General features: G+C 38.3%; 1 protein-coding gene across 2 annotated transcripts in view, besides 2 other annotated features; it reads left to right on the forward strand.

The window, feature by feature from the left end:
* The window catches only part of CLTC (clathrin heavy chain), a 77,062-nt gene extending 64,742 nt beyond the window's left edge, over nt 1-12,320 (forward strand). For both annotated transcript variants that reach the window (NM_001288653.2, NM_004859.4), the window contains exons 29-32: nt 420-590; nt 951-1,172; nt 6,000-6,075; nt 9,092-12,320. In NM_001288653.2, coding sequence (NP_001275582.1) covers nt 420-590; nt 951-1,172; nt 6,000-6,075; nt 9,092-9,216 — 594 coding nt within the window. In that variant the 3' untranslated portion in view covers nt 9,217-12,320. The remainder of the gene's footprint in view (nt 1-419; nt 591-950; nt 1,173-5,999; nt 6,076-9,091) is intronic.
* Nucleotides 412-706: a silencer, noted in NCBI's record as "tiled region #12460; HepG2 Repressive non-DNase unmatched - State 17:Gen3', and K562 Repressive DNase matched - State 5:Enh". NCBI's record gives its function as "represses a minimal TATA promoter and a strong SV40 promoter by Sharpr-MPRA in HepG2 and K562 cells {active_cell/tissue: HepG2 | K562}" and the evidence as "EXISTENCE:reporter gene assay evidence [ECO:0000049][PMID:27701403]".
* Nucleotides 12,066-12,115: an enhancer, noted in NCBI's record as "active region_12513". NCBI's record gives its function as "activates an Ori minimal core promoter by ATAC-STARR-seq in GM12878 lymphoblastoid cells {active_cell/tissue: GM12878}" and the evidence as "EXISTENCE:reporter gene assay evidence [ECO:0000049][PMID:35858748]".

Below are 12,562 nucleotides of genomic sequence, written 5' to 3' on the forward strand. Positions count from 1 at the left end.
CTACTAAAATACCAAAAAAATTAGCCGGTTGTGGTGGCACGTGCCTGTAGTAGCAGCTACTCGGGAGGCTGAGGCCGGAGAATCGCTTGAACCCTAGAGGCAGGTTGCAGTGAGCCCAGATTGCATCACCACTGCACTCCAGCCTGGGCAACAGAGGGAGACTCCATCTCAAAAAAAAAGAAAAAAATCTTGCCCTCCAAATTAGAAATATTGTCCATTTCATAGCCATATGTTAGTCCTTGATAGTGAAAATCTTGGAGAAAATGGTATCTTTAGGTAAAATGAAAAATCATACCTTTTGATGCTTGAATCTAGGTGTCATATTACATGTTACCATCTAAGGGGCTCATTGATTGAGAACGGAATATAATGTTAAACAAAATACTGATCTGGCATTTGGATGGCTTTTTTTTTTTAAGGCTCTGCGAACATCAATAGATGCTTATGACAACTTTGACAATATCTCGCTTGCTCAGCGTTTGGAAAAACATGAACTCATTGAGTTCAGGAGAATTGCTGCTTATCTCTTCAAAGGCAACAATCGCTGGAAACAGAGTGTAGAGCTGTGCAAGAAAGACAGCCTTTACAAGGTTGATAAAGTTGCGGGGCAGGGGCTGTTTTAAACCAGGCCTAAAATGGTGTTACAAGTGATTATAATCTATAAATAAAAGTATTGGTTTTGTGAATATGAGAGCTGACTTTAAGGCAATTTAAGTTAATGGATTTCTTGATTCTAGGGGCTCTCTTATGTTAAGGTCAAACTTGTCTGGGGAAAAAAAAGCTTTTAGCTTATCTCTTCTTTGAAAATTTTAATTTAAATGATACAACTAGGAGGCTTTTTTCCCCTTGCAAAACCAGATTTATATTGGAAAGTTTCCATTGTTTTTCTTGGTTTACTAGTTCAGTATGTGGGGTCTAATGTTTTTGACTTTCACTATTTCTTTGAATAGGATGCAATGCAGTATGCTTCTGAATCTAAAGATACTGAATTGGCTGAAGAACTCCTGCAGTGGTTTTTGCAGGAAGAAAAAAGAGAGTGCTTTGGAGCTTGTCTGTTTACCTGTTACGATCTTTTAAGGCCAGATGTCGTCCTAGAAACTGCATGGAGGCACAATATCATGGATTTTGCCATGCCCTATTTCATCCAGGTCATGAAGGAGTACTTGACAAAGGTAATGACTCTTCTAAGTGTATTCAGAACTAGTTTCCTTGCATGTAAAATTCTACATGCACATTAATTTTTTTAAATGCTTTTTTCTTTAGTAGAAGTAAGTCATTTAGTCGATCATAAAATATTCCTGTTCTTTTGAAATTTTTTTTTAATAGCTGACAAATGACACTGATTGGAAGGGGAACTCAAATGTAGCTGTTTACCCTCAGTGTATTTATGAGGGTGAAAATAATCTATGTATTTTTTTATTTAAAAAACTTTGATAAATTTTATTTCAAAATAGTATTTTTCTCAAAATCAGTTCTTGTGACTCAAATATTCATGACTAGTATTGTAGATTCCCTTTTATTTGGTTGGTTCCTGACTTTAATGATGTCTATGCCTGTTTCCCCTGGGGAAGCTGCATGTATATTCTTAACATCCTTTTAATCTTCACAATTTTTTTGATAGTTTAACCCCTGATTTAAAAATACCATAGGAGGTGAACATGGGAAAAAAAAAACAAGCTGGGGGTCTAATTGCCTTATAACATTCACTATTCGTCTTAGTGTCCTTTTTTGATGTATGAATTTACTCACCCTATCTTCAGCAGTTACTAGCTGTCTCTCTGTAGAACATTTTTAAATGGTTTTAGAGGATCCTTTTCGTCAAAGCAAAAAACATGATTAAAATCAGAGTCTCACATCTGATTCCTTCAGCCTGCCTGAGTTGGGGGGATGGGAGGGTGAAGAAGCGCTACCAACAACCCCTCCCATACTGAATTTTTCCTCAGGATACCATTTAATTAGATACCATTGTGTCTGTTTAAAGTTTTTAAAGAATTAACATTTTCTGTATTCAATGTAAGAGAAAAAACATGTTGCCTTATCTTAGCCATAGATGAGAATAGCTTCTTAAACATAATGCCAACTTGTGAGACCTGTCTTTAAGCTGCTGTTAACCTAAGTGCTGTAAATTTTTCTAGTGATTAAGCTGCTTTCTTTCATACTGTAGCATAAATTCTTCTGCATTAAGCTTTGAAGTTACACAAAATTCTAAATTTTGCTTCCAGTATGCCCTTTATTTTCACTTCTCTCATACCTTTTTAGTGGTTAGATGTTTCTTCCCTAAACCTTTGTTGCTGATTCTACCTTTTTATGCTCAATATGGAATTGATTTTTTTTCTAAGCTGCACCTTCTGAATTCCTTTGCAGGTTGATGCAATAAAGGAAAAGGTGAAAGTTGATTCTTTAACATCTTTAAGTCTGGAGGACTAAGTCTAAGGAATTTGCATGATGTTTTTCCTTCCTCTTCTACACTGCTGCTGCTGCTTTTTCCCCCCAATAAATTTTCACTAAAGCCTCTGCAAGTCCCTTGAAACATAACTTTAATAGAGCTGTAGGACATTAGTAGACGTTTGCTACTAATCGGCTAATAGGCTTTAGGAAGGGCAGGAGGCTAATCAGTAGTTGGTTCACAGTCTCTCTTAAATATATTATGAAAAACTGAGTATGGTGAGTTTCCATATTAATTTCAAAGTAACAGGAAATTTCTCTTCCCTGTCAGGGTATCTGGACCATAATAGGACTGTCATAATCCTTGAAGTAAATTAAAACAGCCTCTGGTTTTACTTTGTGAGCTTGCCTGACAGTTGTCGAATTTATATATGTATATATACATGCCCTAAAAGGCTTTTTGGGGTTTTTTTTTTTTTGTATTGAAGGACTGTGATCCAGTTTCTGATCTCTTGATTCTTACTAATTTTTTGCTGAAAGTAGATACGAGAGATACTAGCTGCTTCCGAAGAGACTTTCCTCATGTTTCTCCAGGTGTCCAGTTCTTATGGTGCTAGTCCATTTTTAAGAGGAATCAAAACCTTTTTAATCATGAGAGCCAAGCTTGCTATAATTGTTGCTAAGCAACATGAATTATTTTTAACAAAGTATTAACTTCTACTTTCTGTAATAAGGCATACCTCTGAAGCTACCTAAAATTTGCTCTCCTATTTATCAGTTGGCTTGTCCAAGGATGTCAAATTCAGGCACCTTTTGGTTGCTGCTTCCTTCATTGGCTTGTCTCCATCCCAATATAAATGAAACAAACTTACGTCTGTTATCAAATTGTGGTTAGAAAAGGGTGGGAAGGTAAAGGAGAGTTGAAACAAATTTAAAAGAATTTGGGTGGGGGACAATGCCTTGGGATTATGTTGAACCAAACTGGAATCACCACTGGAACTTAGGGCAAACCTGAGTAAAATGCATTGTGTGTGAGACCCTTCAGCAGCTAGTAAGCAAGGCAGTTAGAAAGCGTGTGTGTGAAAAACAGGTAATTGAACTGCAGTGTTATGCATTGTTTTAAATGAAGCATGTACAACAGTCATTGCAATTACATCATACTATTTTTGAAACTCTTATAGCATTGCTGTGGGCTGTGTGTGTTTCTTGAGAGCCTGTATAGCAAGTCATCTTCAGACCTCACTTCTTGCTTCAGTACTTTTGCCTTTTTTTCATGCACACATACACCAAAATAACTGACTGCATGTTACTTTTCCTCTGCAGCACATTGCAGTCTTTGTGGAAAAGCCTTTTACATTTTAGTGAATTTTCAGTAGTACAGATGGAACTGAATTCATTGACATGCTTACCTGTAATTTTTCTTTTTAAATCCAAGGATCAGAAACTTTAGTTACAGCTCTTAACAAAAGCTTGTGTTCTTAAAAGACTTCTCTGCTTTTTTTTTGAGCAATCTAAATTGGATCAGTGGAAACAAAAATTGAAAGTCCCTGTGCCAGAGGCTGTCCCATTATATAGAAGAATCAAACTTTTTGCTTAGCTTGATGCTATTCCTTCAGAATTCTTCCCCCTACGCCCAAACTTCCTATGTGTATGCCAGGGCATTGTGATATTGCCAGCTCTTCTAAGTCTTCCATGTGTTTCTCTAATAGGACTTCTGTGTTCAACATCTGATTCAGACCTTAACTTTTAAACACATGTTCACTTCAGATTCTTTTCCCTGGAAGTCCGGAAATGTATTATGCAGTGGTGGCTTTTTGGTTGTTTCATTTTTCTTCTTTTTTCTTAGAAGTTACTAATATACAGGCATCCATGTATTTTTCTTTATAACTTCTGTAGCTCTTTCTTGAATACTGGTTAGTTAGCAAAACCCCATCTGATCCTTGATGGCACAGAGCTGTGCTTTAAGTTCTATAACTAATAATTTTTGTTCTAAGTGTGGATGCCAAAAAATGGACATTTCATATGGTACTTATACTACATAATAGTCTTTAATTTGATATTAGGGTAATTTGTAACACATCATTTAGACTATAAAGTAGGATAATAGTGTATAAAAGTAAACTAATCCATCTTCCTAGGCTAGAAATTAAACCACATTTCATCTGAAGGAGCCTACTTAGGCTTACTTTTCTCAAACTTTCAGTTCCCTAACAAATTAAGATGGATTAGACTCATATTTATGGTATTTAATATGAAACAATTAAATATAAAACAGTGCCCTAACCTTAATGGCCTATGTGAAGACTGAAAGATACTTTTTTAATAGTTTCAAACAGAAATGAGGTGCTGCCTTAATCTTTTTAGGACCTGGTTTTTAGAAACTTTTCCACTGAAGTCTACAATTTTTTTTTTTGAGTGATTTTTCATAATTTGCCTTTTTGAAGAACATGCAGTGAGCATTCATAAAGTGTTTCCCCCTGCACCTTGGCCCCCCGTCTCATGCAGCACATTTATGACATTGAAAACCACCAGTAATAGATAACATTGAGATTTGAAATTTAGTTTTACTTAGGTATAATGACAGACCAAGTATAAGGCTTTGGTTGAGAGACCAGCTTTTAAATATTGAAAGACAAATATAGTGTAAAAGGCGCAATGGAATTTGTATAGTGAAGGAGATTCTCTAGTCCCAGGGTTGTAATGTCACTTCTGTCTAATTCATTACAGAATTACAGAATCAAATCATGTTAGCCCTAGAAGAAACTGCAGATCATTTTGTTCAATCTTCTCATTATATAGGAAAGGAAATTTGAGGGCCAGTGCAATGGTTTGCCAAGGTCACACAACTAGTTAGTGGAAGGATCCAGGCATTCTAATTCCTTTCTTTCACTAATACATTTGGCCTGCTCTACAGAATTACTTCTGTCTGATACTATCCACTTTGAAGAGTAGCTAGCATATAGTAGCCATTTACTTTTGGCTCAATTAAAAGCAAACATTTTTGGGACAAAATCAGGCTTTCCTGATTACTTCTTAGATAACAGAGCCCACACAGTATTAAAACATGCAGCCTTTCTTTATGCAAAAAGATTGAATATGGAGCCACTTGAATCTTAAACTTCAGTCTGCAGCTATAACCAATATCATCAGAAGTTATACACAATTGGCAAAAGAATAGCTTATTCTGCCCAAATACTTGTCCAGTCACTAGGATCATTTCACTTTTTTGAATACCATTTGCTTTGGGGAGGGAAGTATTGCCAGACCATGAATTCATTATTACCTCTGATCAGTTTTAAACTTCATTTGAAAAGTGGTTCCTTCTCGTTTTCTCCCTCCCTCAGGCTGCATCCTAGCATGCCCAGTTTTAGTCTGGCATGAGCTTTTATGGCATTTTGAATCCCTCCTTCCTGAGGGTTTATAATGACAGTGCTGAAAACCACCTGGACTGAAGTATGAACATTGCCATTGAATTTGAGGGGGACTGAGAATGTTCTTTCTAGTCTGTTTTATTTTGACAGAATTTAACATACTAAGGCTTTTCCACTTTCTGCCATAAACCTAGGTTTATAATACTTTTGGGGTGCTAATTAACATGATGTGTTTTTCTCCAGGTGGATAAATTAGATGCTTCAGAATCACTGAGAAAAGAAGAAGAACAAGCTACAGAGACACAACCCATTGTTTATGGTAATCTCTCTCTGTAACCTCAAAAAATTCATTAGACAAATATTTAATTACTTAGAGACTGTGCCTCAAAATAGAATACAACAAGCTTCTAAAGTGCAAAAGGCTTTCTAAGAAATACTGCTCTCTACTGTCTGATTTTTTTTCTGAGAAGTCATAAAGCAGGTGTTGATATTATTCACTAAAATAATCTTAAATACAAGAAAACTCAAAAATAGTCATTTAAAATCATAACATGAATCTTTCCTATCATCTGGTCCCTCACGCATTACCTGCTCATAAATTACTGAAAAAGAAATATTGATGAATTCCATTTTCAAAAGAGCAAAAGGTGAGAGAACATGCCAAGGCTGTCTTTAGTATGCTTTACATAAAGAATACATCCTCATTTTAAATTCTAACTGGGGCAGAGAACTGGGTAGAGTTTCCATTTGAGAACTTTCCAGAGAGATAGGATCTTCAAACTCTCAAGTGAATATTTAAGACAATTTCATGTCTTCTTAAACCTACATGTCTGAATTACTGCTCCTTTCCATTTCATAGTTGGTGAACAGATTCATTTGAACAATCACTTTGAAGAGTATAGGTAGAAGCACAATAACCAGGTGAGGGAACATAAAAATATGACCATTATGGCTGGGTGCGGTGGCTCATGCCTGTAATCCCAGCACTTTGGAAGGCTGAGGCGGGCGGATCACAAGGTCAGGAGCTTGAGACCATCCTGGCTAACACAGTGAATCGCCGTGTCTACTAAAAATGCAAAAGATTAGCCGGGCGTGGTGGCACATGCCTGTAGTCCCAGCTACTTGGGAGGCTGAGGCAGGAGAATCGCTTGAACCCGGGAGGCAGAGGTTGCAGTGAGCCGAGGTCGTGCCACTGCAGTCCAGCCTGGGTGACAGAGCAAGACTCCGCCTTAAAAAAAAAATATATATATATATATACATATATATATATATAACCATTATATATCAGGCTACTGACACAAATAATAATATATACACTTATTATGGTTTTGTCTCCTTTTTACTGTAGATAAAAAGTACTTTAGGAATTTAGAGGACAGGATAGTTTTGATAAAGTGGGTTCTTAGAGATGGGAGCAAGATGTTTGACATGTTTGAGATAGGAAACACATCAAGTCCTTAAAGGTGAAAAAGACATAGGAAACACAGTAGGAACAAAAAAAAGATGGGTGTAATACTTTGGGGTTACCTACTGAATTTGGCTTGCCTTCAGGGTGTTTTCATGGGTAGTTGAAAATTGGGTTGGAATTTCAAGTAGATGTCATTATCAAGATTAGGGATGACTTTTTAAAAACTGGTTTCTGTTGGCTGGGTGCAGTGGCTCACGCCTGTAATCCCAGCACTTTGGGAGGCCAAGGTGGGCGGATCATGAGGTCAGGAGATCAAGACCATCCTGGCCAACATGGTGAAACCCCATCTCTACTAAAAGTACAAAAATTGGCTGGGCATGGTGGCATGCAACTGTAGTCCCAGCTACTTGGGAGGCTGAGGCAGGAGAATTGCTTGAACCTGGGAGGCAAAGGCTGCAGTGAGCCAAAATTGCACCACTGCATTCCCTGGGCGACAGAGCGAGACTCCGTCTCAAAAAATAATAATAAACTGGTTTCCAATAATAATTTGTTTGCTGAAGACAGCTTTGGTTGTTAACCACAAAAAGCAAAGACATGAAGTCCTTTGTGTAGGAGAAATCTTGATCTAGGTTTACACTGTAGTGGGATGTTAAAAATACTTTTGTAGGGGTAGAGAGAGGTGTTACTTGTTTTCGCTCTCTAAGCCAAGTTCTCTACAGGTCATGTTTTCTGTATATGGCCAACAACTATTTAAACTTTATAAGAAAGAGTGTCAACATAGTATTTGATAGAGGGTGTATGTTCTAATGTATTTCATACCTAAAGAATGTCTGAATATGTCTTTTTTTTTCCCCCAAGATGGGGTCTCGTCTGTCACCCAGGCTGGAGTGCAGTGGCGTGATCTCGGCTCACTGCAACCTTTGCCTCCTGGGTTCAAGTGATTCTCCTGCCTCAACCTGCTGAGTAGCTGGGATTATAAGCATGCACCACCACGCCCGGCTAATTTTTTTTGTATTTTTAGTAGAGACGGGGTTTCACCATATCGGCCACGCTGGTGTCCAACTCCTGACCTAATGATCCACCCTCCTCGGCCTCCCACGGTGCTGGGATTACAGGCGTGAGCCACCGCGCCCGGCCCAAATGTGTCTTATTTTTAATTTAACTGCTGTCTCTAAATTAGTACTGGATCTTCTATAAATGAATTTGGTTTCATTGCCATTTAGACATGTTTAAATCAGAAATTTAAATGTAACTCTAAAAGTTATGTTAAAAACATGTCATTTAGACCAAGCATGGTGGCTCACACCTATAATCCCAGCACTTTGGGAGGGCAAGATGGGCTGATCACTTGTGGCCAGGAGTTCAATACCAGCCTGGCCAACGTGGCAAAACCCTGTCTCTACTAAAAATACAAAAATTAGCTGGACATGGTGGCGCACACCCATAATCCCAGCTACTCGGGAGGCTGAGGCACGAGAATCACTTGAACCCAGGAGGCAGAGGTTTCAGTGAGCCGAGATTACACAACTGCACTCCAGCCTAGGCAACAGAGCCAGATTCTTTTTTTTTTTTTTTTTTTTAAAAAGTCTTTTAAAAAATTCTTTTATTGTGCTGATTTTATTGTGTCATGAAGTGTAATATGCATGTAGGTATGTGTCAAGTATACAGAGTGTCAGGCATACGGTGTTCAGTCATAAGCAGTTCTGGCCTTTGGCCCTGCACTGTTTGTTGGCTTTTTAGGTAGGAACCTTCTTAGAGTAAGACTGTCATGCTAAAATTGTAGCAATCAAATGTGCCCCCCATACAACTCATTTGAGGTTGAGATTATGTTGCTAGAGTGGAGGAGATTGGAGTGTTCTAAATGCTAACAGTTTGTCCTGCCTCCTTGCCCCTGCCCCCTGCTCCTTTTTGTTTTCTTCTACTGTAGGTCAGCCCCAGTTGATGCTGACAGCAGGACCCAGTGTTGCCGTCCCTCCCCAGGCACCTTTTGGTTATGGTTATACCGCACCACCGTATGGACAGCCACAGCCTGGCTTTGGGTACAGCATGTGAGATGAAGCGCTGATCCTGTAGTCACCTATTTTCGTACTGAAACATCGTCTTTACCCACTTCTCAGTTTATAATGGGGGAAAACAGGCAACGTGTTCTTGTAACCTTTATTTCATGAAGGACTTCTTTTTGTTTCTAACTATAAACTTGGATCACCTATGTTAAAACCTTATTTCACATTCCACATCATTTTAGAATTTATTTTCGAAGGGGAATAGTTTCAATGTTTTATTCACTTGGGCTTTTTTTCTTCCCCCTCTTTCTTTAAAGAACTGCTCAATATTCAATCTGTTGTGAAGAACCTGATTTGCACTCTGTAGTGTTTAAAGAAACAAAGAAACTCTAATATTGAATCTCTTAAATTTAGTGTATGTAAACAGCTTACAAATACGTATTGTCTAAATGCATTTAAATCTGTTTTATTCAAAGAAAAGCTAAAGCAAAAACACTGGCATATGACCATGCAAGACTGTCAGTGCCAACAAAGACAACACTAATCAGCACATCGTACACTGGATTGCAGTGCTTCCCAGATTATTGAAAAATGTTACAGACAACTTGCCTGATTTTTAAATGAGCGTAAAAGGCCCTCTAACCTATGCAGGTTTCCCCATTATGCATATAGAAAATGCTAGTATGTTTTGCTCACTTCATATGTAACAGGTGCCCTTATGTTGTGCTGTATCCTGTGCTTTTTCTGTGGGACCATTCCATTCAGGAGCAAAGAGCACCATGATTCCAATCTTGTGTGTGTTTACTAACCCTTCCCTGAGGTTTGTGTATGTTGGATATTGTGGTGTTTTAGATCACTGAGTGTACAGAAGAGAGAAATTCAAACAAAATATTGCTGTTCTTCAGTTTTGTTTGTGGAATTTGAAATTACTCAAATTTAAAATAAATTACTGGACTGTGGAAATAACATAGAATTGAAGTTTTAATTAAATACCACTCAAACGAAAAGAACAGTAGTTTTTGTAGTTTTATATTGGATACTGAGGCATTAGGGAGGCATGAAAGGAAGAGGAATGAGGATTGAGACATGTGAAGACATTGTGCATTATATCAATGTGCATTCCTGTAGTTCATTAACAAGGTACATGCAATAGTCTAAAGAACCAGAGTCACTACTATAGTGGCTTAACATTTAATCTGTCTCCAATATTTTAACCAAGTGACACCGAGGTTTTTATCGAAGCATTTCACTTAAATGAACAAATCATGGCTGTTATATTAACTTGAAATAAAATATATTTAAACATGTAGTTAACATGCTCTTTCTCATCATGAATTATAAAGGTGCCCAAATTATGGGTATCTTGATTTTTTTCAAAAATTGGTTGTGTGAATCCAGCTCTTGCTTATGGCTGAGAATGTTCCTAAAGTTCATTTCACTATCCCTTAATCCTCAATAGCTACACATACCCCCTTGCCTAGTTAGTCTTGCACTGCTTTACAACTCTCTTAGGCAAATTACCTAACATAAGCTCCACAGAAGAGTTTTTTAAAACTTAAAATCCCTGTCCCACCAGGTGTGGTGGCTCATGCCTGTAATCCCAGCACTTTGGGAGGCTGAGGCAGGCGGATTGCTTGAGGCCAGGAGTTCGAGACAAGCCTGACCAACATGGTGACTCCATCTCTACTAAAAATAAAAAATCAGCCAGGTGTGATGGTGGATGCCTATAAGATCCTAGCTGCTACTCAGGAGGCAGGAGGCTGAGGCATGAGAATCACTTGAACCTGTGAGGCAAAGGTTGTAGTGAGCCAAGATCACGTCACTGCACTCCATCCTGGGTGACAGAATGAGACTCTTGTCTCAAAAAACAAAAAAACCTATTTAGTTTCATCCAGGACATTAAGTGAAAGTGTTTAATGTGAGTGCAGGTCAGTGAAGAATACAATGGTGCCCCTGCTTTGATTTGTGGGAGGTGCCATCAGTTTTCCCCACCACTGCTTTTGCACCCTCAGTGCAAATATCAACACAGAGAAAAAAAAAATAATAATAGTATTATGAAAACATTGACTCTGTGGAGACCCTGTGGGTTCTGCAGAGTATACTTTGAAAACTATAAGATTATGAGTTCTATAAAATACCAAGTACAGATGAACTAGAAAACAAGCATATATCCACAATTACCAGAATTTTCATAGTATTCCTTTTAGTAGATATGCCATGACAGTTACTTAGCCACCCCATGCCATCCTGTTGGGAATGCCACTACCTTTGAATTTGGAGCCATCAGTCTATCTGAGGCAAACCTCAGAAATTACCTGAGCCAGAATCATGCACTTAGCACTGAGTTCAACTCAGTCTTAACGTTGCATTTTGTTGCATCACTTTTGCAGCCAGTAAACATTCTGTTTAGAAATAGTTGCTATTGTGGCATCATTCACAGTTGCAATTTTTCTCCTGTGCTGTCATATGCCTGTGCGAAGTGTATTAAATGAATCAAATATTAGAAATTTCAAGGCTGTCTTTAGTGTTCTGCCCACAATACTCCACCAATGACCTTAGACCTTGAGATGGTGCTATAACGCTGCTTATATTGCAGTTAACCATAGAGAGGTGGAGCCACTTAAAATGGGCCTATTACCAAAATTCTCCCTGGCATCATTACAGTTCTTGGGGATACACTGATTTTAGAAATTACTGTCAGTATCCTCCTAAAAGAAGGCTTAAATAGTTTCTAACAAGATGACTATCAGGAAGCTATGTGGCTTGGGGAGTTGGGACCCTCTGCCTCATATTCTGGGTAACTGGTATAACATAGTAATTATTAGGATTGTATCAAGTGTATCTAAAGATCAAAAGGGAAAAAAGGCACCCTTAATTGTCAAAGTTAGTTCTAGGAAAAAATACTAGCAGGGATGACAAACTACGTTCACTTTACAGTTACCATAAATTCTTACTTGGGCCCACCCATTTCCATCTGTTAAGGTCCATAAGGTTACTCAAGTTTCAGTGGCTTCATTGTTACAAGAAAGGGGGGAAGTGAGAAACTTTAATAGGCTGTGATTTAGAACCACTGCTGATTAACCTTTGGCCAGTATGGGTCAGGGAAGGTGAACATGAAACACTGCACAGTAGGTTGTATCAATGCTATAAAACTCAACCTGGAGACAAAATTTAAACAGGTTATAAACCATGGGACTCCATTGAGGGTGGCTGTATCAGTCACCCAAAAAGTGACAGCAGGGGAACAAACTGCAGCTTGCCTCTAGTGGGAATACCCTTGAACCTCGACCTCCAGGGGGACAGCAGCATAGTCTTGGGGAAGGGCTACCAACACAAAGGGACCTAACCATGTATAGGGAAATGCTGTTTCCTCCATTTTAATCCAATTGTATCAT

The sequence above is a fragment of the Homo sapiens genome, chromosome 17 (genome assembly GCF_000001405.40).
Source record: "Homo sapiens chromosome 17, GRCh38.p14 Primary Assembly".
Lineage (NCBI taxonomy): Eukaryota > Metazoa > Chordata > Mammalia > Primates > Hominidae > Homo > Homo sapiens.